Genomic DNA, 26,628 nt, shown 5'->3' with positions numbered 1-26,628 from the left:
ACTTGGACACTCTCTGGATGTCCATCTGCCAAGGATATTGTAAAAAGGATCCCTGTACAGATGGGGTCAACCTGGTAACACCCAGTGCCACTCCTGTGGAGTTACTTTCTGGCCAAAACACCTGTCATCTGTAAATTAGGGCTTCCCATAGCATCTGAGCCTCCTCCATAGTCATGATCATGCCCCTAAGAGCTTTCAGTGGGATGTGCCCAGAGTGCCCAGGGTGCTGCAGAGCAGGAGCAGGAGGTCTATGCACACATCTCCAAGCACCAAGGCTGGACTCACAGAGAGCAAACTGAGGTCCAGAGACCACCCAAGGTCATGCCAAGCCTCAGTTTCCCTGGCTGTAAAAGAGGGGTCTCAATGCGGGCCCTGGTGGTCTCCTGGGACTCCTGTGGGGTTTCCAAATCTATACCCCGATTGAGTTGAAGGAAATAAGTGGATAGTGGGTTCAGCCCCTTAATACATTACTACGGGTAAAAAAAATCATAAGTCAATCGAAAATATTTGCTGCACAATTATTGTATGCCCTACTTTAGGCCTTGTGGAAGATAAAGATGTCCTGCCTTCAGAGAGTTCAGTTTTGATTATAACCCCTTCTCTCTGTGACTGCACTGATTTTGTAAAGAAGTCCAGACTTTTTTCTTTCTTTTTTTCTGTCATTAATTTTGAGTTATTCCACTAAAATCTAATGACAGGTGATGCTACCCTTTGTTCTGAGCCAAGGCATGTTGCTTGCCCAGAGGGGATCCTACCTGCAGGCAGGCCCTTTTCATTCTGCCCTGGAGCAAATCCTGCCTCTGTGGGGAAGCCCCATCAGGGCCCTCCTACGTGCTTGTATCTTATAGACTGTAGATTCAGTGTTGCATTGACGTAAATTTTACACAAACATAGCTTCTAGAAGCACACATCCTTGATCTCTTTTAGAAAAAATCCAAATTCTGTTTATTTTTATTTTATTTATTTTTTTGAGACAGAGTCTGACTCTGTCGCCCAGGCTGGAGTGCAATGGCGCGATCTCGGCTCACTGCAACCTCTGCCTCCTGGGTTCAAGCGATTCTCCTGCCTCAGCCTCCCAAGTAGCTGGGATTACAAGTGTGCACCACCACACCCAGCTAATTTTTGTATTTTTAGTACAGACAGGGTTTCACCATTTTGGCCAGGATGGTTTCGATCTCTTGACCTCGTGATCTGCCTGCCCTGGCCTCCCAAAGTGCTGGGAACTCAGGGGTGAGCCACCGTGCCTGGCCACTTTGGCCATTCTGAGAATCATCTATACACAGGAAAAAACAAACCCGGGGTGCTCTAGGAACAAGGGCCATAGGATCATATAAGGTGCATTATGAGGGACATAATGAAGCCACCTGTTCCCAAATAGCTTCCCCTCTGGCTTTGCCCAGGTGCCTGATGTCACCTCATTCTTTGGGGTCATGCTATTGTCATGGTTCTCAAAATGTCGTCCCTGGACCAGCAGCATCAGGGAACTTGTTAGAAATACAAATTCGTAGCCTCCTACCCCAGACCTGCTGAATCGGAAACTCTGGCTGGGCACAGTGGTGCACACCTGTAGTCCCAGCTAGTCAGAAGGCTGAGACAGGAATTTCACTTGAGCCCAGGAGTTTGAGACCAGCCTGGACAACATAGCCAGACCCTGTCTCTATTTCTAAGAAAGAAAGAAAAGGAGAGCGAGAGCAAGGAGGAGGAGGAGGAGGAAGAAGAAGAAGAAGAGAGAAGAGAAGAGGAGGAAAGAGAGAAAAAAGAAAGAGAAAGAAAGGGGAAAGAAAAGAAGGAAGGGAGAGAGAAAGGAGAAGAAAGAAAGAGAAAGAAAAGGAAGGAAAGAAAAGAAAGGAAAGGAAAGAAAGGGAAGGAGGGAGGGAAGGAAGGGGGGAGGGAGTGAGGGAAGGAAGGAAGGAACGAACAAACAAGCGAAAGAACTCTGGAGTAGGGTCCAAGCAGATGTATATTGAATCTTCCAATTGATTCTGATGCACTCTTAAGTTTGAGAACCATTGCTCTATTGAACTGTTAGTAATAATGGGCCGTTATTGACCACTAAACCCCAGTAAGATTAAAATTTCAGTTTCTTCACAGAAAGTAAAGGAACTAGAACTAGAACAAGTTAGTTTTGATTAAGATAACATGGAAAGGAAAATTCTACACATTTAGGAGACTGGGATGAGGGGGGAGAACTGTGGAGGGTTTCTTTCCCGGTCCATGGGCCACCTACTTAGTAATGGGCCCATATTCCTAGTTTTACTGCGAAGCCCAGTCTTACTATAGTATACTCTCACTCTTTGTCACTCTTCATCATAAAAGCTTGTTTGGGGGCACTCTCTTTCAATTTGCTTTTGCTTCCATTGTAACTGATTTGTATTCTATTTATGAATGCTGCACACACTGATTTGGCTGCTTTCAATCCCAAGTGAGTACCACTTTGTAAACACTGGAATTTTAAAATGTTTGATACTTGGACCCTTTCTGAAATTTTCCATGTTATATTTCTTTCATATTCATCTCAAGTGGCTTTCAGATAAACCCTACAGAGTTCTCGATATAAAAGAATTGATAAGCATAAGCAGAAGACATCAAAGGTGGTCTGAAGACATTGGGTAGTGAAAAAGACATCTGAACTCCCCAGGCTCAAGCGTCAGCCAGGAGTTCTCTAGCATTTGAATGAGAAGCCCTGAGCCAGCCTTCCTGCCCGGCTTCTCTGTCTCCATCATTAATTGCACATCATGTTCTTTTGGTCACTGATGTGAGGAAAGGCAATAGAACCCCAATTTCTAATAAATGAAGCCTTCCTCAGAACAATCCTAACAAACCTCTGGGTTGGTAGAGCTTCTAGGAATATTCTGCCCTGGGTCAAGATGGAATTCCTTAGCCACCCAGCGTCAGCAGGCCTGGGAGTGAGCAACGTAGCAGTTCAGGAAGAAGAGAGAGGGCAGCAGGCCTCCAAAGCCTGACTTCCTATGGGTGGCCACATCCCAGGGGAGCCTGGCCCTGTGAATGAGGAGCAAAGGAAGGACAGACTGCAGAACGGGGGAGCAGAAGGGTCCACATGGAAAGGAGAGACGGGCAACAGTGGTTCCTTGAAACTCTCCCTGTAGACCGTCATGTGATCCACATGCAGTTAGGGACACTGAGGCCAGGGTAGGGAAGTACCCAGCAAGGAATGCAGAGAGAGCCGCTGAGAGCAGCACCTTTGGGTTCCCGATTCTGCTTCAGGACCTGGACTTTGGTTTAACTTTCCTCAACTTGCATTTGGCAGATTAGAAAAGATACCAAAGCAACAAGTTATTTCAGGCCTAGCTGACCTTTAATAAAAAGCACATATGGGCTGGGTGCAGTGACTCATGCCTGTAATCCCAGCACTTTGGGAGGCTGAGATAGGCAGATCACTTGAGGTCAGGAGTTCAAGACCAGCCTGGCCAACATGGTGAAACCTTATCTCTACTAAAAATACAAAAAATTAACCAGGCATGGTGGCACACATCTGTAGTCCCAGCTACTCGGGAGGGTGAGACACGAGAATCACTTGAACCTGGGAGGTAGAGATTGCAGTGAGCTAAGATCACGCCACTGCACTCCAGCCTGGGCAAAAAAAGAGGCTGGAAGGGAAGGGACGTATCTGTGGAGGTGAACAGGGCAGGGAAGTTCATGGTGTAGAGCTGGGAAGTTTATAGGCTCTGGGCCAGCCTTTCTGGGATGGGATCATGGCTCCGAGTATGAACTGTGTGACCTTGGATGAATTACATAACCTCTCTGGGCCTCAGTTACCTCATCTGTAAAGTGGGCATACTTGGTGAAGATCTGGGAATTAAACAAATGAATATATGTAAAGGCTTGGCATAGGGCATGGCATAGAGTAAGTTCTTTGAACATTTTTAAGTCTAAAAGCCCAGTGGCCGGTGAAGATTCACAAGGCACGTTATCCTCCAGTTTGTCTTAGCACTTTGTCTTGGCTCCAGATTCCTTATTTCAGTTTTTAAAACCAGCTGTTCGTGGTCAGGCAGGTGCTGTCCTGGCCCAGCTGGTCTGTCAGAGCTGTGGCCCAGGCTCTGTCCCACCAGCCCTTCCCTAACTGGGGCAAAGTGAGGAAGGTGGAGAGGGAGCTGCCCTCACAATGGAAGCCAGGCCTTGGCTCTAAGGAACTGGAAGGAGATGGGAAGGGGTTGGGAATGCAGCTCCCAGCCCCACAGCTGCTGACCCTGCCCCGTGTCATGTGCTCATCCACAGTGAATACAACCGTGTTCAATGCTTCAGCCCCATTGGCACCAGACACCAACGCTTCTCTGGTAAGTCCTTTCCTCTTATGTTAGACATTTGAGTGCTTTTGTTTGTAGGAGGAGGGAGAAAAGATTTTGGAAATGAGACCAACTTATGGCCTCCCAGACTTGCAGAGGTCAACTCCAGCTGCACGTCAGGGTCACCTGCAGAGCTTTGTAAATGAACACTTTTTTCTTAGGTATATACTGTAAACATCCCACTTAAAAACATGCCTCATTCTGTTAAATCCATGTTTTTTTGTGCGTTTTTTTTTTTTTTTTGAGACAGGGTCTCACTGTGTTGCCCAGGCTGGAGAGCAGTGGCGTGATCTTGGCTCACCGCAACCTCCATCTCCCAGGTTCAAGCAATTCTCCTGCCACAGCCTCCTGAGTAGCTGGGATTACAGGCACGCACCATCACGCCCAGCTAATTTTTTGTATTTTTAGTAGAGACGGGGTTTCACCATGTTGGCCAAGCTGGTTTTGAACTCCTGACTTCAAGTGATCTGCCGGCCTCGGCCTCCCAAAGTGCTGGGATTACAGGCGTGAGCCACCGCGCCTGGCCCCCTCATGTGTATTAATAATATGATACGAGCTGGGTGTAGTGGTACACACCTGTAATCCCAGCTACTCAAGAGGCTGAGGCACAAGAATTGTTTGAACCCAGGAGGCAGAGGTTGTGGTGAGCCAAGATCGCACCACTGCACTCCAGCCTCGGTGACAGAGCGAGACCCTGTCTCAATAATAATAATAATAATAATAATAATAATAATATGACACGCACACAAAGGAAGGGGAAGTAGAGATGAGGGATGGTAAATAGAGCCTCACAAAGCTGTAAGCAAAGCCTGCCATTCATTTTTCTGCCTTCTTCCTTCTCTTTCTGCCTAGGACCCCCAATTTCTAGCAGTGCCACTCTCCAGCCCCAGAGAGTTTATTAGTGTTTCTTCCTCAATGAATCTAATGTGTCCTTTGCACACCTTAGTCTCTGGGGCCTAAGGTATGGTCTGCCTTTCCCAGTAATGACAGTGGTCTTCAGGAGCCAGCATCCCAGCCTAAGTGGCTTAATGATAGAAGTTCAATTCCAGATGAAGGTAGCACCTGGTAGGACTTGGGGGACATTTGTGAGCTTTTACTGTCTCCAAGGTTGCTTCTTAAGTTATTCCTGCCTAGGCAATTGACTGCTCTGCCTACACACATCCTAGTTGGCAATTTAACTTAATATTTTTCAAAGATTAGGGTTTTTTTTTTTTTGAGATGGGGTCTTGCTCTGTTACCCAGGCTGGAATGTAGTGGTGTGATCGTATCATCACTGCAGCCTCAAATTCCTGAGCTCAAGTGATCTTCCTGCCTCAGCCTCTCGAGTAGCTGGGACTACAGGCATCAGCCACTGTGCCTGGCTAATTTTTAAGTTTTTTGTAGAGACAAGGTCTCACTATGTTGCCCAGGCTGGCCAAGTATCAAATTTTGAGAGAGAAAGAACAGAATCAGTCAGTGCCTATTTCTGAATCCCTATTATATGCAAGGGGCCATGTGCACTGAAGGCTAAAAAAGACATCTAAGAAACCAACACAGAACCTGTCCTCAAATTTGTTTTTAATATATTTGTAGAGAAGAACCTGAAAAGTTATGGGACAGCATAAGCAGAATGTACCATGCATTAAATATAGGCCAAATGTGTACATCAATCTTGAAGGCAGGAAAGGAGGCTGCTGGAGAGGCCAAGAAAAGCCTCAAAGAGGAAGTAGAATGCGATCTGGTCTTCAAGGTTGGGAAAAAGTTGGCTCAGCAGAGAAAAGCACATTCCAGACTGAAGGAACAGCATAGACAGAAGGGCAAGAGAGGAAAAGCACAAAACCTGTGCAGAGGCTAGTGGGTGGGCTAGGCCAGCTAAGATGGGGTGAGGGTGGGGCTTGGAACACTGTCTCACAGTACACATCAGAGTGTGTCTCACAGTACACATTTATATATATATATATATAAATTTATATATGTATATATAAATAAATTTATATATAAAAATTCACTGTTGTGTATGCCTTGGATTTTAGGCATCTGAGACACCAAGGTGGGGAATGGCTGAAATGACCCAAGAGGGGACTGACAAGGGAGGTGATCCCCCATATATGAAAGGGTGTGACAGAGGGGATGGAGGGGAGAGAATAAAGATGAGACACTCCAGGAAGGAGGCGTCCACAGGACCTGTGGTTGGTTGATGGGAGCCAGGCATCCTGCCTCTGCACTTTTCCTACTTGCTAGCACAGCAGTGCATCCTAGAACACAATGAAGAAACACATGTGAGCTCCTAATCTTCCTAGGGAGCTTGTCATTCCTTGAACCAGCCCGTCCCCAGGAACATCACTCTGGGGGGCTGGGGTCCCTCAGAGGGTGGGAAGGTATGCTGGCTGCCTGGGGACTGCAGTGGGAAGGACACAGCTGACTCATCAGGAAGATGCTGACCCATTCTCTCCTGTGCTTGGTCTCCAAGTACAACCTCCTTAACCTCACAGCGTTGGACTGGTCCCTGCTGAGCAAGAAGGAGTGTCTGAGCTACGGCGGGCGCCTGCTTGGGAATTCCTGCAAGTTTATCCCAGACCTGGCGCTCATGTCCTTCATCCTTTTCTTTGGGACATACTCCATGACCCTGACCCTGAAGAAGTTCAAATTCAGCCGCTATTTTCCTACCAAGGTAAGCTCACCCTGCAGTTAGGAGGGGACCTGCAGTCAGACAGCTGCTGAGTCCCCCAGAGAGGGTTCTGGTCCACCGACAGGATGGACTCCATGCGAGCACTGGCCCACTGGGGTTTTTCAAGTTAAGTCAGAGAGAACTGTGTTCCCTTGTTGGCTGGTCCCCTTGACAACACTTGGTATTGTCAGGCTTTTATCTTTAGTCTTTGTCTATAGTAGTATCTCATTGTGTTTTTTAAATTTTTCATTTCCCTGATGACTAATGAAGTTGAAAATACAGCTATTCCTGTGTTTATTGGCCACATGCCCAATTGCCTTTCTTTTTGGAAGTGTCTGTTGAAATCTCTTGCACATTTTGGGTTGTCTGCCTTTCTGATTTGCAAGAGTTTGTTATATATTCTGGGTAGAAATGTTTTTGTGATTATATGTGTTGCAAAATCTTCTCCCACTCTGTGACTGTTTTTTTCTTTTTACATCCTTAATGGCATCTTTTGATTAACAGAAATTCTTAGTTTTATTGTAATTGAATATATCAAACTTTCCTCAAGGCAAATATTGGACAGCAGATATTCTTGTATGTTACCTTCTAAAAGCTTCATTGTTTTTCCTTTCATGTTAGATCTACAATCCATCAGAATTGATTCTGATGTGTACTGTGAGACAGTGTTTCTTTGTGATTTTATATAGTCAATTGTTCCAGTATTTTTTAAAGACTATTCTTTCTCCATTGCTTTGCAATACTTCCTTTGCCATATATCAAATATTCCTATATGACAGGGTCTGTTTCTGGGTTCTTTATTCTGTTTCACTAGTTTATTTATATATCAGTATCACAGTCTTCATTTCTGTAGCTTATAAGTCTTTATATCTTTGTCTCCCAAGCTCTCCCCTTTTGTCCTTTTTATATAATATTTTCTTGGCCCTTTGCATTTCCACATGAATTTTAGAATCATCTTAAATTTCACCAAAATGAAAACTTGTTGGAATTTTGATGGGATTATCTTTGCCTCTGTTTGGGAAGAATTAACGTCTTTCAAATTTTGAGTTTTTCTGATTTATGAATACAGTATACTTCATTTATTTTGGTCTTCTTTCTCTCCATAATGTTTTATACATTTTGATCTTTAAGTCTTGAACATTTTTTGTTAGAGTTATTCCTAGGTACTTGATTTTTTTATACCGTCGTAAATGCTAACTGCTATGTTATTATTATTTTATTATTATTATTATTTTTGAGACAGAGTCTCACTCTGTCACCCAGGTGGGAGTGAAATGGCATGATCTCGGCTCACTGCAACCTCCGCCTCCCGGGTTCAAGTGATTCTCCTGCCTCAGCCTCCCAAATAGCTGGGACTACAGGCGCCTGCCACCACACCCGGCTAATTTTTGTAATTTTAGTTGAGACGGGGTTTCACCATGCTGGCCAGGCTGGTCTTGAACTCCTTACCTCAGGTGATCCCCCCACCTCAGCCTCCCAAAGTGCTGGGATTACAGGTGTGAGCCACCGCACCCAGCCCTAACTGCTGTTTTAAATTTTATTTTCTACCTGTTTGTGGCTGGAATAAAAGATTTATGAAAACAGCACTTGCATACATAAGCAGTAACTGTGCCGTGGGGTGGGGGGTACTCGGAAGAATTTAAGCAACTCTTTCCCACCGTAAACTCCATTAGCAGTCTCCTAAAGCCATCTTAACTAAGTATTACAGCTGCTACTGCTACTAATCATAATGATAAAATCTTTGAAATAAATAGTTGAATTTTTCCCAGATTTTCTAAAGACTAAATAAAAGGTGCTTTAGGAAGCTTCACAGTATATAAACTGAGTAAAAAAATAGTTTGCTTACAACACAAATGCACCATCAAGACAAGTTCTCTTCCTTCCTGCCCACTTCCAGTCCAGAGCACATCCCTCAATCTCCTCTTATGTAAAAATTCTCAAGCAGTCACTGTATCTGAGAGTATCTATCTGTTGCCTACAGGATGAAAAGTAATTCATGTGGCATGAAATTCTTGTGCCAACAACATTTTTTCCGTCACATTACTTAAAAATTGCTCAGTTGGGCCAGGCACAGTGGCTCACGCCTGTAATCCCAGCACTTTGGGAGGCCCAGGCAGGCGGATCACGAAGGCAGGAGATCGAGACCATCCTGGCTAACATGGTGAATCCCCGTCTCTACTAAAAATACAAAAAATTGGCCGGGCGTTGTGGTGGGCGCCTGTAGTCCCAGCTACTTGGGAGGCTGAGGCAGGAGAATGGCATGAACCCGGGAGGCAGAGCTTGCCGTGAGCAAAGATTGCGCCACTGCACTCCAGCCTGGGCGACAGAGAGAGACTCTGTCTCAAAAAAAAAAAAAAAAATTGCTCAGTTGCCTTCTGGAATTTCCGGTTGCAGAGAGGAATGAGGCCACACCATTTTATACTCATCAGATTGGTAGACAGATGAAGGTCTTGGGACACCAGATGTTGGAGATGGAAAGCAGTAGGTGGGAATGTAGACAGATACATCCAATTTGGAGAGCAACTGACACTCTCTGATTAGGTTGGACCATATGAAGTTGCCCATATTTGACTGTTTCAACCTACAAAAAAAGTCAAGTTCATGTGGTTTAACTTAATAAGCATTCATATGGTTTTGATGTATATGCTAGGAATATTATAGAAAAGGAAGTATAAACCCAGCACACTACTTGGTTCTGCTGTGACTAATATTTATATGATCATGATAATATAAAGCTGTTACTAATTTTCAACTTTTGGAATTGACTTACAGATAAAACACACAAGCCATGTGTTTACGGAACAAGAAATGATTGTTCTCAGCTTCGACAATGGAAAGGTCAAAGTGGAGGTGTGACAGGAAGGAAGAGGGGAGGAGGAGAGAGGTGGTAGGAGGATAGAGGCAGTGGTCCTCACCTTGCAAGATGGAGAATGAGAGATATTAGCCAAAGCTAATGGAAGGAGATGTTTAATTATTATCACTTGAAAGTACAAAGGAAACCCATAGGAGCTTAAAATTAACTATCAAAGATTAGGAATAAGGAAAGGACAGGAGGCACAGTGTAAGTAAAGGTAAATTCTTATCAATAGATAATCCCTTAAATTAGTAAATGAAAATATTAAAGTATATGCATATTAGTTAATGACATGGAGGGAACCTCTGGAACAAGTAAAATCAAGCAGACATAGTGGATAGATCTGGAAGGCGGGGCTGGATTGAGAAAAGGGGAGGTGGGAGACTTTGCTTTTCCTCATAAGTATTTTCCACTATGTGGGTTTTTAACCAATTACATATGTTATGTTAATAACAAATTTAAAGAGAAAAGGGGGATGCAGGGAATGAAGTCAATGTACTGTCACCTGCCCCTGCCCTTCAAATTGCCTTCTTTGAAAAGATATTAAAAAGGCCACAGGGTAGACGTTGGGGGACCATCTGTCCTGAGACTTCTGGACATAGAGTTGGTTTGGAGGGGAGGTCGGAGGACATTGATTCAGAATGGGCAGGAAGGTCAGGTTCAGAACTTGGTCTAGGAAGGGCCTCCAGGTTCAGAACCTGGCCTAGGAAGGGCCTCTTGAGAAACAGCGGAACAAGAGACTCTTGGTGGACAAAAGGTCTGAGTGTAGCCAATGATCCCCAGTGGAATTGGGGAGCCTCCCTCCTAGCCCAGGTGGGGTACAACAACCTGTCACAGGCTTGTAGGAACTAAGGTTTGCTTCAGAGTCCAGCCCTTGCCCTCATCATACCTGCTGGGTGCCCCAGTTCAGACTGTCATACCAGAACACATCTTCAGCAGTGGCTGCCATGGCCATATGGATCATAACAGATCCCACATTGACCACCATATGCCAAGCACTCTAAATGTGTCACAGTTCACTTACACCTTTGAGGGAGATACTACCATCATCTCCATTTTACAGAGAAGGAAATTGAGTCTTGGAGAGATGACACGCTTCCCCAAGCTCACACAGTTAGCAAGGAGCAGAGCCTGGATTTGAGCCTAGTTCTGCTGCCTTCAGAGCCCAGACTGTAATAGTTCACCTCTTTGCTGCCGGAGGACTGGGGCTGCCTGGAGCTGGGTGGGTGCTTTACTCACTTCTTTTACTTGCTCATCTCCTGTCTGCAGGTCCGGGCCCTGGTGGCTGACTTTTCCATTGTTTTCTCCATCCTGATGTTCTGTGGAATCGATGCCTGTTTTGGCCTAGAAACTCCCAAGCTGCATGTGCCCAGTGTCATCAAGGTTTGCCCCTTTCCCTCGCTCTGGGCATCCAGTCTGCCTGCCTACCAGCTGCAGATTCTTTCCCCTCTGTGCTGATCAAACTCTCTTCTCCTCTTGGCCAAGAGACCATTTTAGTTCTCTGTGTGCCACCTTTCCTGAACACAGGCTCCCAGGAGCCAGTCCTTTGAGGTAGGGCGGGGAGGGGTAACATATTCACCAGGAAATCCTGATCTATAGTCACGAGGTGAGGAAGGCACTGGAATTCACCCTCCAACCCAGCAGAAGCCTCTTGATTCCTATTTGAGTGTCTCCAGTTCCCTGACCTCTAGCAATCTATAAGCTGGGCCAAATGGGATCCATTGAAACTGATCCCTTAGAACAGTGATTCTCAAAGTGTGGTCCTCAGACCAATATCATGGCATCACAGTCACAGGGAACTCGTTGGAAATGCAATTTCTCGGCCCCACCTGTGGAATCAGAAAAGCTGGGGGGTGGGACCAGCAATCTGCATTTTAACAAGCCCTTCAGGTGACTTGGAGTATGCTCAAGTTTGAGAACCACTGCTTAGAAATTACCCACTAGTTAGAACTGGTGACATATGCTTGTAGCTAAACCCAGCCCTACTCCCTCATAAGAGCACCAACCGGCCAGGTGCGGTGGCTCACGCCTATAATCCCAGAACTTTGGGAGGCCGAGGTGGGCGGATCATGAGGTGAGGAGATTGAGACCATCTTGGGTAACGGTGAAACCCCATCTCTACTACAGATACTAAAAAATTAGCCGGGCGTGGTGGCGGGCGCTTGTAGTCCCAGCTACTCGGGAGGCTGAGGCAGGAGAATGGCGTGAATCCGGGAGGCAGAGCTTGCAGTGAGCGGAGATCACGCCACTGCACTGCAGCCTGGGTAACATAACAAGACTCTGTCTCAAAAACAAAAAAAAAAAGAAAGAAAGAAAGAAAAAAAAAAGAGCACCAACGATCTCACCAGAGTAGGGAGTCCAGATTCTAGAACTTACCCTCCCTGTCTTTAAGGTTTTTTTTGTTGTTGTTTGTTTGTTTGTTTTTTGAGACAAAGTCTTTTTATATATTCTCCTCATTCTGAACATGCAGGACTGAACTGATGTTCAGCATTTTACAGACAATTCTATAATGCTCCCAGACAGGTGACTCAGGAGAGGCAGAAGCAGCTGGCCCTGGGCCCACCCATTTCTTTATTCTTTTCTGCTGGGCCTCATTCCTGCTGTTTGTTATTTGCAGCAGGTGACTGTGCTCTCTCTCCTGGCTGCCCTCTGACCTTCACCTCCATGTTTCCTGACAAACCCCAGGGCTGTTGCAGCAAATTACCTTCTTAGTTTTACAGACACTGTCTGCATGCATGCTCCTTCCCATGTCTGAATTTAGTCTAAAGTTGCAGCTACCTAAGGTGTTTAAGGGAAAAGATTGCACTTGAAAAGTACCCAAAGTCAGGGAAAGTTGAGGAGGTGGGACAGCAGGCCAGGCGACAAGTGCCCTGGGACAAGGGAGAGAGGAAAGGGCCCCTCTCTGTTTGCTCCCACTCAGCCAACGCGGCCTGACCGAGGCTGGTTCGTGGCCCCCTTTGGGAAGAACCCGTGGTGGGTATACCCAGCAAGCATCCTGCCCGCCCTGCTGGTGACCATCCTGATCTTCATGGACCAGCAGATCACTGCCGTCATTGTCAACCGGAAGGAGAACAAACTGAAGGTAAGGCCGGTACTAGGAGCAGAGGCATAACCTCTTTCTTCCCACAAAGTCAGAAAGAGCGAAGGAAGGACATGATGCTTCTTTCAGTACTTTGGGCCAGGAAAATATGAGGACAGAGACTAGAGTTCCCACTTGGTGTGTTGAGGGGGAAATGTGACCTCCAGATGTGGGTAAGGCCACCAGGGCTGGAGTGACTTTCTGAGGACCAGGACCAAACTAGGCTGGGCCACTGGGCACAGGCTCTCTGTCTTTCCCAAAGTGACCTCGAGTTCTTATGAGAATCAGCAGATCCTGACAGGGGCTCAGCCTAGAACACTGAGGCAGAGGAACTTCCTTAGCCTTCCTGGTCTCTGCAACTCCCCACCCAGCCTGTGAGCCTGAGAAGACTCGGGTCACCCCCTCCCCCATCCAGGTCTGGACCACTTTAGGTGTGGCCTGTCCCAGCTGGGGCCCCTCAGGAACCGCAAAGACCCTGTGGCCACCTTCTGGGCCCTTCTCCCCAGAGACCCAAACCCAGGGCCTCTCCAAGCTTGAACATCCCTCTCTTCTATGACCCATACCCCTTAGGCAGTTCACCCTTTCAGATGGGGTGGCAGGACACACCCACCTCTGCAATCCTTGCAAGGAGCACCTCAGGCCCCTTCAGTATCTTCTGGAAGGCAGGGGGTCCTTGAACCATGTTCCACAGAATGGTTGCATCCAGGAGGAACTGGCTCCCCAGAAACTTCTCCCTCCCCCAACCCCGCTCCTGCAGAAGGCTGCCGGCTACCATCTGGACCTGTTCTGGGTGGGCATCCTCATGGCTTTGTGCTCCTTTATGGGGCTCCCCTGGTACGTGGCTGCCACGGTCATCTCCATCGCCCACATCGACAGCCTCAAGATGGAGACAGAGACCAGTGCCCCTGGGGAGCAGCCCCAGTTTCTGGGAGTCAGGTAGGAGGGGTCAGGGCCTAGGGATCACCCAATGGGGAGGGGCCCACTCGGGGAGGAGAAGCTGGCTTTGCCTGCCACAAAAGGATTTGGACAAAAAGGGCCCCCGCTCTGACGGCCCAAGAACCACAGGGACAGGAGTGCTATCCCTGGAGGGAGGGAAGGAGAGAGACAGAAGTCCAGCTCTAAGTGGGGCTTTTTACCTACTGGGCTCCAAGCAGTATGCATACCCCATCCATAAATATGCACACGTGCCAGACACTCATCTTCATCAGCCACCCAAGGTCCCCACAAGGCTTCGTGCTGTCCTGCCCTTTTCCTCTTCCTCAAGACCCTCCAGGCCCCTACTGCCCTGATGGCCCTCCTGCGGGTTCAGGTCCTGCTCAGTCTCTATTCCTCCAGAAGGCTGTCCTGGGATCACCCCCGCTCCCCAGTCTGTGGCCCTGCCTGTTACTCCTGTTCCTTCACTTGCCTCTTCTCTCACGCCCCATGGTAGGCAGAGAAGTACATCTTCAGCCCCTTAGGGCCTCCAGGGCGAGACCACACCAAACCCTGGCTTTCTCCTACGTGGCTGCCCTAAGAACTTCTCCCACTATCTTGAGATACTTGGACCGCCCAGCCTGCCCGAATGAGGCTTCTCTGCCCGACTGCAGGGCTCACCTGCCTCCCACCCCTGACACCTGCTCTGCTGGTGTCCTCTTCCCCAGATCCTCATTCATTGTGCCCCACAAAAACGAAATCTTAAAATCAAAGGGCAGAGTAATAGCATTTTATCTCGCATGTATCCTCACAATAGGTGCCATTATTATCTGCATATACTGAGGCTCAAGATGGGCAGGCTCCTGCCCAATGCCACATAACTAGCAAGTGGCAGAGCCAGGATCCAGTCCACATCAGTCCTGCTCAAGCCCCCCAGCTACAAGCCACTACACTAAGCGGCCTCCCTCAATGCTCCTGCAAGATGCCCTTGCCCCAGTCAGGGGCCGCCTGTCTTCCCACATATGGTTCAGCTGGGCCTCAGGCAACCAGGCAGAGCTTCATGCAGAAGCCCTCAAGGCCATGGCCTTGGACACAAGCTTCAGGTGCCCACAGAGGGGCAGGAGGGCCAGAGTAGTTGCCAGGCATTTCCTGGTACACCCTGACCATGTGTTCTTCTCTGCCAGGGAACAGAGAGTAACCGGCATCATCGTCTTCATCCTGACGGGAATCTCTGTCTTCCTGGCTCCCATCCTAAAGGTGAGGTCCTGCACTGTCACCTAGGGCCTCGTTGCCTGAGAAAGCAGAGCGGATGCCTTAGGCAGGGAGGGGGTCCCCACATGGCTAGGGATCACTGGCCTATCAGCCCCCTAAGAAAGGCACAGTCTTGGCCGGGCATGGTGGCTCACACCTATAATCCCAGCACTTTGGGAGGCCGAGGCAGGCGGATCACCTGAGGTCAGGAGTTCAAGACCAGCCTGACCAACATGGTGAAACCCTGTCTCTACTAAAAATACAAAACTTAACCAGGCATGGTGGCACGTGCCTGTAATCACAGCTACTCGGGAGGCTGAGACAGGAGAATGGCTTGAACCCGGGAGGTGGAGGTTGCAGTGAGCCAAGATCGCACCACTGCACTCCAGCCTGGGCAGCAAGAGCGAAACTCCGTCTCAAAACAAAAAAAAGAAAGAAAAGAAAAAGAAAGGCACAGTCTTACTAGGCCAAAGCAATGTTTCCACACTGTCACCGCCGTTTTCTGTGATACTGCAGTTTTTTATCATCACCAATCCTCTCTCCCACCCATCCCAGGGCCACTCTCACCTTTCTGGAGGATACTCTTCCCTCTGAAAGTTCTGCCAAGTTGTAGCCCTGCTTAGATCAGGAACTTCCTGAATGGGGTGTGTTTCCACATTGCCAGGGTTTGGGGCTCATGAAGTTTAAAACTTGCAGCAGGAGGCCAAACATGGTGGTACATCCCTGTAGTCCGGCTACTCAGGAGGCTGAGGCGGGAGGATCACCTGAGCTCAGGAAGTCTGGGGACTCGAGTGACTTTTTCCCACACAGCTTGAAGCTCCTCTTGCTTATGTCCCACCACAACAGCTAAGAGACTAAGTCAAGTAGGGGTACAATGGAGGCAGGCGTCCCCCACAAGGGTCTCTTTCTGGAGAGACTCCAGAAAGCAAGGTGTTCCCACCAGGCTTCCCTGCTCTCCACTCCAGCCAATCGCCCATCACTCTCCCTTTCCCTTGATCAGTGCCCACGTAAGACTTTCCTTTCTTGAATTAAGTTTACCTGTAATTGCCTCAACCTTTTGCCGATATTATTTTTCCTCTTTGAATATCTCAAAACAGCTCATGACCAGGCATGGTGGCTCATGCCTGTAATCCCAGGACTTTGGGAGGCCGAGGTGGGAGGATCACTTGAGACCAGCCTGGGCAACATAGCAAGACCCCCATCTCTACAAAAAATACAAAAATTAGCCAGGCACGATGGTACATGTGAGGCATGATCACTTGAGTCCAGGAGGTCGAGGCTGCAGTGAGCCATGATCATGCCACTGCACTCCAGCCTGGGCAACAGAGTGAGACCTCTTCTCAAAAAAAAAAAAAAAAAACCTCATTCAGAGGTGACCTTGTAAGAAACAAACGCTAAAGAATGATGATTCTGGCTGATGTATTTACAATGGAAAATATTTCTGGCTTGAGAATTGGTGCTGGGCATACCCGAGCAGTAAGTAGGAGGCTGGCATTTTTTAAGGGATATTTCCCTTGTGGGGGAAACAAATTACACACAGGAGGGCAAGCATTTTGTTTATTGAAAAATATATTTTAAATGGCCAGGGACTACTTACTTTTGTAGAGAGGGTTCTAAGGTGCCATTGTGTATGTCAATTTTGACACTGTTTAACATACAAGTATTTGCATTAAAAAGCTCGAATCAGGCTGGGTGTGGTGGCTCAAGCCTGTAATCCCAGCACTTTGGGAGGCCGAGGCAGGTGGATCACCTAAGGTCAGGAGTTCAAGACCAGCCTGGCCAACATGGTGAAACCCGAAACCCTGTGTCTACTAAAAATACAAAAATAGCCAGGTATGGTGGCACATGCCTGTAGTCCCAGCTACTCAGGAGGCTGAGACGGGAGAATTGGTTGAGCCCGGGAGGTGGAGGCTGCAGTGAGCCGAGATTGCACCACTGCACTCCAGCCTGGGCAAGACAGAGTGAGACTCCGTGCCCCCCCCAAAAAAAAAAAACACCTTCGAATCGGCCAGGCATGGTGGCCCATGTCTGTAATCCTAACACTTTGGGAGGCCGAGGTGGGAGGATCACTTGAGAACAATAGTTTGAGACCAGAATGGCCAACATATCGAGACTCTGTCTCAAGAAAAAAAAAAAAGCTCAAATCTAAGAACAGACTTCTTTAGGGGCAAAAAATTCCTCTAAAGCCCTCCTAGTGTTGGCATAGTGCTCTGTGCTCTCCGGAGTGCTCTAACATGACCACAAGGAGGAACAGCCTCTGCTCACCATGGGGAGCCACAGCTGCAGGTGAAAGAGAGAAGGTAAGGGGCAGAAACAGCTGAGAGAGACAGCGGAAGAATGCTTTGAAAGGCTGTGAAGATTTGGAATCATTCTTGTAGAGTGGGATGAATTCTATGATCCCATTTTTGAAAAAGCAAACAAATTGCCTGTGTGCAAGTTTGGAGGGAAGGATACCCGCCAAACTATTGGTGGTTAGTTGGTGATGAGTGCTGATTAGTTTACACACTTTTGTTCTGCTTCTTTTGTATGTGATTGCGTATGAGGCATGATTTCTGTTTTTTTTTGGTTTTTTTGGGGGGCGGGGGGGTTTGTTTGTTTGCTTTGTTTGGTTTTTTTGAGACAGAGTCTCTTTCGCCCAGGCTGGAGTTCAGTAGCACGATCTCAGCTCACCGCAACCTCCATCTCCCGGATTCAAGCGATTCTTCTGCCTCAGCATCCTGAGTTGCTGGGATTACAGGCATGTGCCACCACGCCTGGCTAATTTTTTTGTATTTTTAGTAGAGACGGGGTTTCACCATGTTGGCCAGGCTGGTCTCAAACTCCTGACCTCAGGTCATCCACCTGCCTTGGCCTCCCAAAGTGCTAGGACTACAGGTGTGAGCCACCACACCCGGCCGGATGCGTGATTTCTGTTAAGTGTCCCGGGTACTCGCTGCTGATGTAGATCAGCTCATTAAAAGTCCCCATGCCCCTGCAGGCTGAGCAGTTTTAGGGGACCCTCAGCTGAGGCTGGAGGTAGGAAGAAGCTGGGCAGGAATGAGGAGGGGGCAGTCTGTGGAGTCTTCTCACTTTCCAGAAGGCATTTCTTTAGCCAGACCACATGGCCTCCGCACGGTGCAGTGAGGGGCCAGGCCAGGAGAGCAGCTGCATGCTGGGCCAGCTACCCCAGCCAGAGAAGGGGCAGTACAGCCCCAGTGACCCTCATCTTCACCCCTGCCCACATCCCAGTTCTGCTGACTCTCTGTTCCCCCAAATATCCAGTTTCCTAGCTGCCTCTGTGGTCAGGAGCCACTGTCATCCAGAACAGGGTGGCCAAGGGCCGCCCCAGGCAGAGGCCGATCCAAAGCTCTGCTCTCATTTTAGTGTATCCCCCTGCCGGTGCTGTACGGAGTCTTCCTCTACATGGGCGTGGCCTCCCTGAATGGCATCCAGGTAAGGCTTTCCCTCCAGATCCCTTCATGATCTGGAGTCAACATTCCATGTCTGGTTCCATGTCACCAAGACCCCCAATTCAGTTGTCCCAATTGTCCCCAATTGTCCTAATTCAATGAAAGAATAATAGTAATAATGATACTACCACTTACTGATGCTATCAGGCAAAATAAATATGTTAGGCACTTCATAGGCCTCATATAATTGAATCTATGTAATTAGGTCCTCTGATCCCCATTTTACAGATGGGGACCGGAGGGTCAGAATTCAAAATCCAGAAGAAGCTGACTCCAGTGAGCATTTCACTGTACCTCTCTCTCTTCCCTAAGGCAGCTATGCAGAAGAAAACATTTTTGTTTTGTTCTGTATTTACTGTGAAATCCCAGAATTCTTAAACAGTTTGTGTTACAATTAACTTGCACTTTCCCTGAATATGGACAATGTCCATTTTGTGGCCAGCTCCAGGGCTCCTCCCCTCACCCAGGGCTCAGGACCCTTTCTCTAAGACCCCATTATGCATCCGCCTAGACACCTCCAGCCCCCCTCCCGTGCATCCTTAAGGCCTGAGCAGGGGGCTTCCCCTCTCTGAGACCCCACCCAGGCACCCCTTCCCCTAGTCCCAGGACCCAGCGGGCCCTCGGGGTCTGGCTGCCTGGCTGAGCCCCCGCTGTCCCCCTAGTTCTGGGAACGCTGCAAGCTCTTCCTGATGCCAGCCAAGCACCAGCCGGACCATGCCTTCCTGCGGCACGTGCCGCTGCGCCGGATCCACCTCTTCACCCTGGTGCAGATCCTCTGCCTGGCGGTGCTCTGGATCCTCAAATCCACGGTGGCTGCCATCATCTTCCCGGTCATGGTAAAGTGGGCACGGGCTTCCCCCTCCTGCCTGGCAGGTTGGCCTGGGCAACCCAGAGGTGCAGCGCAACCTCCCCTCCTGCCACCTTCTGCCTTCCTGTCAGCTGTGGCCTGGCTCCCTCGGGTCACGGAGGCTGGCACAGAATGACCTGATTTGAGTTGTGAGTCCAGGCCAGATGGTGTGGGGTGGGGCAGAGAGGAGGCGGAGGAAGGAATGTCAGAGCCGCTCAGTGAGAACCCAGGAGCCACCCTACCTCCTGGCTCCAGGGAGGGACGGAGAAAGAAAATCAGTTCAACCAGGAGACCGAGTTCCCACTGCCAAAATTCCAACCAGTCTCAGAAGTCGATGCGTACTAAATATAGATCTTTCCACCATTCAAGATAGCTAAATTTAAAAAGCTAAATAGTGAAGTAGGGGGGCAGGGGAAGAACGAGGGTCAGAGATCAAGAACAACAAAACCCAATGATGGTATATATAAAGCTTGAGCAAGGGAAAGGTTACAGGTCTTTCACTATTCTTGCAAATATTGTATAAGTTTGAAATTACTCCAAAATAAGAAGTGAAAAGAATGCAAAGCCAACAACATGTTGCATCTGGCCCCCTAGATAACTCACCGAGGGCAGTGACCCAGGCCCTTGCCAGGAGCCTGGAGTGTGTCAGCAAATGCCTGGGGAAAGCCTGAGGGCTCTGGGGTAGGGGACAAAGTAAGGACACTGAGGAGAACTTGAAGTGCACACTGCTGGGAGGGGTCTAGTCCATGGTTCTTGACCCGGGCTGCCCATGAAAATCAACCCAGATCAACAAATCAGAATCTCTAGGGAAACCCAGACTTTGGTATTTTTATGAGGTCCACAGGTGAGCATAGACCTGCAGCCAGGGTTGAGAACCCCCACTGCAGGGAAAGGGAGATAGATCCTCCCCCCAGTGCCCTCAGGGGCCTCAGAGCTGGCGAAGGGAAAGGCAGTAGTAGTCATGATTAGCATTTACTGAGTACTGTTCCACTGAGTCCACACCAGCCCCCAAAGCACTAATAACCCCGCTTTACAGATGAGAAAATGAGGCTCAGAGAGCATGAGCAGAGTGACCCTGGACACACAGCCAGATAGGGCAGGGCAAGACCCACACCCTCCACCTATTGATTTTTTTGTTTAATTTGCATACAGTAAAATTCAATGTGTGGGTCTATGAGTTTTGGCAAATGTACAGAGTGGTTAGAGACATAAATTCTCAGGCATTACCTGACCTGCTAAATCAGAAACTGGGGGAATCCAGTGATTTGTGTATTAATTAACAAGCCCTCCAGGTCCTGGTGCATGCTCAAGTTTGAGAGCCACTAATTTATGTATTTATTTTATTTGTTTGAGATGGAGTCTTGCTCTGTCGCCCAGGATGGAATGCAGTGGCACAATCTTGGCTCACTGCAACCTCCGCCTCCCGGTTTCTAGCGATTCTTCTGCCTCAGTCTCCTGAGCAGCTGGGACTACAGGCACCCACCACCATGCCTGGCTAACTTTTGTACTTTTAGTAGGGACAGGGTTTCACCATGTTGGCCAGGCTGGTCTTAAACTCCTGACCTCAGGCGATCTGCCCACCTCGGCCTCCCAAAGTGCTGGGATTACAGGTGTGAGCCACCACGCCTGGCTGAGAACCACTAATTTAAAGAATAACTGTAGTTCTCCAGCCCATGGCCTTTCTGAGGCTCCCCACTTCGGCTGTCACAGGCTCCGTCCCTCTTGGTCACTGGTAGGCATGGTCACTCACCTGAGGGGCCAGACAAGAGGAACTACGGTGGAGGGAAAGTGAATAATGGCTTATGGGAGCTTCGAGACGGCTCCAAAGACACCACAAAAAGTCCCTGAACTCAGCCGACTGAGGGAGAAAAAAATCTATGCCTGAGTTTGGGCATTGAGACCACAGTTTTCTCCAAATTCTCACAAAACTTTAGTCTCTCTCCACCACAGATCCTGGGCCTCATCATCGTTCGAAGGCTTCTGGATTTCATCTTTTCCCAGCACGACCTGGCCTGGATTGACAACATCCTCCCAGAGAAGGAAAAAAAGGAGACAGACAAGAAGAGGAAGAGAAAAAAAGGGGCCCACGAGGACTGTGATGAGGAGGTGGGGAAGATGTGAGGCCGGGGCACAGAGGAGAAATTGAGAGACCTTCTCTCCACTTTTGCCAGGGACAGGGAGAGGGCGGCTTCTTGGGTGGCCTGCAGCAGTGCCTCGGCCCAGTCCAGGATGGGCTGGGGCATCTGCTTGTCTTGGTCTGGGGTGTTGAGGGCTCTTCTGTTTATGTGAATATCCTCAGGGTGGGCCAGAGTGAATGAGACTCCCTGTCCAGGGAAAAGGTGACTGGCCATGCCCACTCTTTCCATCACTGTGGGCTTTACGGCCGTGATCACAGCAAGCGGGTTCCTGTGGGAAGGGCCAGGAGGCAGCTCCAGCATGGAAGGAGGTTATGAAGACTGACCTCCAAAGAGTGGAGCAGACTTGGGGAGAGGTGTCTAATGGGGCCTTATAAGTAGACTGGACTCCAGACAGGCAGGAGGGGCTGGGAACAAGTTTTGCTTGCGCCTTTGCCTAGGGTATTGAGGACAAAGATGGGGAAAGAGGCAGGTATCCTCGCCAAAAGGAGACTGGCTACATTTCCCAGATGTCTGGGACAACATGGTTGCCCCATCTGCCCCTCTTCTCCCATGGTCCCTTCCCATTTCATCCCCAAAACACTCAGGGAGTCAACAGACAAGGGGCCAGTCCAGAAATTATAGTGAATCACAAAACATGAGGCAGAAAGATTCTTAATTCATGTGTTCATTACTTATGATGAAACTGTCCCCACAAAAGGAAGTGACTTACCCAAAATGGACATGTAGCTACATTTCTAAGAAGGAATTAAGAAAATAATTCCTGACTTTGCTGGTTTCTGATATGCTAAGCTGCCTGTGCCATCTCCTAATGCTGTGCTTGGTTCCCAATCTCCCAATTTGACCCAAACTCACGTCCCTGCATCCACCCTGTCCTGTTCTCGTGATTTTGCCTTGTGCAGATGAAACCTGTTCAAGGCAAATCCCTTCTGACTGGCTGGTGGTGATTAAACCATCTTCTGATCAGTCAGAACTCCCCTGGTCCTTAATTACTGTGCTCTTCCAGGAAGAGTCCCATAATGCATGTGTTTGTAGATGATTTGTAAAGGTGGGTTCTGAAAACAAAGAAACAGAGACTAAGTGCCTTTTAAAGACAAATACTTCTTTTGTTGATACTTTCAATAAATATCTGAGTGGCTACCACATGCCAAGAACTATTACAGGGTTGGGAAAAAGAATCTCTGAATTATGATATATCAATGGAAAAACAGGATTCAATTTATACAAATTCATTTTACTTGTCTTATAGCAACACAGTTGTTGTGTGAGGTTCATTCCCAAGTGACTGGTTGCTGTGACAGATAAAACTGTTTTGATGAGTAACATTCCTGGAAGAGTTCCGGTCTGTCTGATGGTGTGTATAGGACAGCAGGCTAACTGTGCCCATTCCCCTTCAGTGGACCCCAGGGTATTTGCAGCATCCCCTAACTGTTTAGAGGTGAACAGAATGGTGGTTTGCAATGTTCATGCATGCATTTTCCATCTTGGCAAGAAAGCCAAGTTGTTGGCCACGCGCGGTGGCTCACATCTGTAATCCCAGCACTTTGGGAGGCCGAGGCAGGGGGGATCACAAGGTCAGGAGTTCAAGACCAGCCTGGCCAGCATGGTGAAACCCCATCTCTACTAAAAATACAAAAAATTAGCCAGGTATGGGGGTGCACGCCTGTAATCCCAGCTACTTGGGAGGCTGAGGCAGGAGAATCACTTGAACCCAGGAGGCAGAGGTTACAGTGAGCCGAGATCGCACCACTGCACTCCAGCCTGGGCAGTAGAGCGAGACTCTGTCTCAAAAAAAAAAAAAAAGAAAGCCAAATTGTTGTGTTGGTGTTTATCCTCTTTTCCCACTGTTTTTCTCCAGCCCCAGTTCCCTCCTCCCTCGGTTATAAAGATTCCCATGGAAAGTGTCCAATCAGATCCCCAAAACGGTATCCACTGCATTGCCAGTAAGTAAAACACATGATGTCTCTCCCTTCTTACTACTAGTCCTCCATGTCTTTCCCCTAGGAACTTTCATCTGTAACTCAGGGGGATCTAATCATTTTGGATGCTAGAGCAGCAGTCCCCAACTTTTTTGTCATAAGGGACAAGTTTTGTGCAAGATAGTTTTTCCACGGACCAGTAGGGAGTGGGGAATGGTTTTGGGATGAGACTGTTCCACCTCAGATTCTCTTAAGGAATACGCAACCTAGATCCTGCATATGGACAGTTCACAATAGGGTTCTCACCCTTATGAGAATCTATTGCTGCCACTGATCCCACCGGAGCTGGAGCACAGGGGTTAATGCTTGCTCGCCCATGCTCACCTCCTGCTGTGCGGCCTGGTTCTGCTACTGTTCCATGGCCTGGGAGCTGAGGACCCCTGCGCTAGAAGACCTTTGTCCTTGGCAGAGATCAAAGAGAACTGGGCCACCAGGACTGGTACTCCAACCAGATGGAAACCCCAGAGCAAAGCCTGCAGACTCGACTAATTCTCACTTTAGTTGAGGCAAAATCCCTCATTCCCTCCTTTCCCCAGGTGTCCCCAGATCCCTGTGGCATCTCCTGGCCCTCTTCTATGTTGTTTCAGACCACATCAGTCCAAACATGGCCCACCAGGCCTCCCATGTTTTCCAGTGGCTGTTGAAATGGTTGAGGGCTCAGAACCAAGCTTTTCCCTTTAGAGAAATAGGTAGCATAGCACTTGGGTTATAAGTCAGGCATAATTGGAGGTCCTCGTGGTGGTTGTGCTGTGCCTCTGTGTGAATCCTCAGCACCTTCTCAGCAGACAGCTGAGAGGGAGGCTGCCTAGGAGGGACTGGGCATTGCTTATGGAAATCCTGGGAGATTATATTACTGCCTTTAACCCCTCCCAGCCTCAGCTCCCTATAGGTGGCCAGTCCTGTCATCCAGGCAACATAGCCTGTCCCGAGGTCTTCTGAAAGATCCCTACCTTAGTCCCGAGCCCCGTGCTTCTAATACAGGGCTTGCCACCCTCAAAGACAGATTAGGGGTGGGTAGCCAGGGCATCCTTCCCATCAGCACTGTCCATCATAGGTACCTCAAGATCTTGAGTTTCTCAGACTCCTCCCCCACTCCTATTTCTCTCTTCCCTGGCCCTCCCATGCCTCACACCCCCTAGCCCTGGCTGAGCACCTTCTGGGTGAAGGAGTAACTAAGCCCGAAGCCACACATCTCTGAGGCCCCGTATTCCTCTTGCATAGTGTTGGCTCTAGGGTTAGAGAAGGAAAAGAAAGGAAATGGTGGGGGAAGCCCGGAGAAATATGGTGCTCAAACCTGCTCCACATCTGACATTTTTCATTTTCCTGCCAGGAAAAAGATCTTCCAGTTGGAGTTACTCACTCTGATTCTTCCTTCAGTGACACAGAACTTGACCGAAGGTAAACACTGTTAGGTAGACTCCTTGCGTATTAGGTAAGAGACTAGGAAATGGCCGGGAAGGTGGAGGGTCTAGGATTTCCCAAGCTAGCTGTCCTCTCAGTAGAAGGCCCTTGCTGGCCCCCAACTGGGAGTCAAAGGCTGACAAACCTGACTCATCATTCAGGGCCAAGAAACAAGTATGTCTTCTTACTGACTTAACAACATGGTTACAACACACAAAGGTATTCAACTTTAGTAAAGGAAATTCTTATAAAAGATTAGGTAGAACAAAAATTGAAAGTAAACGTTGTGGCCCAGCACGGTGCCTCACACCTGTAATCCCAGCACTTTCGGAGGCCAAGGCGGGTGGATCACGAGGTCAGGAGATCGAGACCATCCTGGCTAACATGGTGAAACCCCGTCTCTACTAAAAAAATACAAAAAAATTAGCTGGGCATGGTGGTGGGGGCCTGTAGTCCCAGCTACTAGGGAGGCTGAGGCAGGGGAATGGCATGAACCCAGGAGGCAGAGCTTGCAGTAAGCCGAGATCGCGCCACTGCACTCCAGCCTGGGCAACAGAGTGAGACTCCATCTCAAAAAAAAAAAAAAAAAGAAAGGAAATATTGACAGAAAACAGAAGCCAGGCGCGGTGGCTCACGCCTGTAGTCCCAGCACTTTGGGAGGCTGAGGCGGGCAGATCACAAGGTCAGGAGATGGAGACCATCCTGGCTAACATGGTGAAACCCTGTCTCTACTAAAAATACAAAAAATTAGCCGGGCATGGTGGTGGGCGCCTGTAGTCCCAGCTACTCGGGAGGCTGAGGCAGGAGAATGGCGTGAACCTGGGAGGCGGAGCTTGCAGTGAGCCGAGATCACGCCACTGCACTCCAGCCTGGGCAACAGAGCAAGACTCCATCTCAAAAAAAGAAAAAAAAAGAAAACAGAAAAACTAGGCATGGCTTAAGTGTAATATCACTGAAAGCCAGGATAAATGAACGCTAAGGATCGAAACCCTGGGGTACTCTGTAGAATGAATTAACAGCAGGGTTAATTAGCAAAGGTCAGAAAGGGTATGGAGGAAAGCCAACATCAGAGATCAACATCAAAGCTAACATCAGAGATCAACTGGAGATGGGAACTGTTAAGAATAGGTTCAAGGCCAGTTGCCAGGAGCCCCCATGCCAACAATGTGATTGTTCTTCATGAGAAGCCACCCGTGAAAAAGGTGAGACTCCCTGATGATGACATAGTGGGGGCAAACACAGAAAAGATGAATTTAGAGGCAAGAAAGGCTTTACTTCATTGTTACTTGGGAAGATGCCAGGGGCAGTCCCACTCCTACCTTGTGCCCTAGAATGGACAGGGATCAAACAGTAATTACAGCACAGGCTATCCCAAGTCTAGAAGATCAATCTCCAGGCACAGAGGGCACTCATCCAAGAGATTTTTGGGGAAACGGGGCAGGGGATCTTCTGAATTATAAGGCAAAGCTGCTATCCCAATGCCAGGGTGAAACGACACACTTTTCCCCAGTTCAACCCTCCCTAAGCAGCAGTCCCAAAGATGCTCTAGCCCAAAGTGTCACCTGTCCCAGTTAATCTCCACCTTCCTTCTCATCCCACTTCCCCAGTCAGGCTCCTATATATGTGATGCCATTGATCTTTATACATTAGTATACACCGGTATTATGAGAAAAGCAGTCTATCTTATTTTCATTTATAAAATAATCTACATGAAATTGACTGACTACTCCCAATTTCAGGCAGTAGAGAGAAAATTTGGACCAGGTTAGG

The 26,628-nt window shown here is 48.4% G+C and overlaps 1 protein-coding gene across 3 annotated transcripts in view, besides 2 other annotated features; it reads left to right on the top strand.

The window, feature by feature from the left end:
* The window catches only part of SLC4A5 (solute carrier family 4 member 5), a 127,175-nt gene that overhangs the window by 97,128 nt on the left and 3,419 nt on the right, over positions 1 to 26,628 (top strand). For 2 of the 3 annotated variants that reach the window (NM_133478.3, NM_001386136.1), the window contains 11 exons: positions 4,237 to 4,295; positions 6,754 to 6,954; positions 11,075 to 11,188; positions 12,726 to 12,887; positions 13,642 to 13,820; positions 14,981 to 15,053; positions 18,411 to 18,479; positions 19,159 to 19,332; positions 21,294 to 21,449; positions 23,337 to 23,421; positions 24,788 to 24,855. In NM_133478.3, coding sequence (NP_597812.1) covers positions 4,237 to 4,295; positions 6,754 to 6,954; positions 11,075 to 11,188; positions 12,726 to 12,887; positions 13,642 to 13,820; positions 14,981 to 15,053; positions 18,411 to 18,479; positions 19,159 to 19,332; positions 21,294 to 21,449; positions 23,337 to 23,421; positions 24,788 to 24,822 — 1,307 coding nt within the window. In that variant the 3' untranslated portion in view covers positions 24,823 to 24,855. Of the gene's footprint in view, positions 1 to 4,236; positions 4,296 to 6,753; positions 6,955 to 11,074; positions 11,189 to 12,725; positions 12,888 to 13,641; positions 13,821 to 14,980; positions 15,054 to 18,410; positions 18,480 to 18,724; positions 18,773 to 19,158; positions 19,333 to 21,293; positions 21,450 to 23,336; positions 23,422 to 24,787; positions 24,856 to 26,628 lie in introns of those variants that run through there. The other variant, NM_021196.3, reaches the window with a different exon arrangement.
* Positions 17,687 to 18,187: an enhancer, noted in NCBI's record as "H3K4me1 hESC enhancer chr2:74455229-74455729 (GRCh37/hg19 assembly coordinates)". NCBI's record gives its function as "activates a minimal SCP1, AML or CMV promoter by ChIP-STARR-seq in naive H9 embryonic stem cells {active_cell/tissue: H9 hESC(naive)}" and the evidence as "EXISTENCE:reporter gene assay evidence [ECO:0000049][PMID:30033119]".
* Positions 24,833 to 25,127: an enhancer, noted in NCBI's record as "tiled region #13618; K562 Activating DNase matched - State 18:Pol2". NCBI's record gives its function as "activates a minimal TATA promoter and a strong SV40 promoter by Sharpr-MPRA in K562 cells {active_cell/tissue: K562}" and the evidence as "EXISTENCE:reporter gene assay evidence [ECO:0000049][PMID:27701403]".

The sequence above is a fragment of the Homo sapiens genome, chromosome 2 (genome assembly GCF_000001405.40).
Source record: "Homo sapiens chromosome 2, GRCh38.p14 Primary Assembly".
In the NCBI taxonomy this organism is placed as follows: Eukaryota; Metazoa; Chordata; class Mammalia; order Primates; family Hominidae; genus Homo; species Homo sapiens.
The sequence above is the reverse complement of the archived record's forward strand: the minus strand, read 5'-3'. Positions and strand labels throughout refer to the sequence as shown.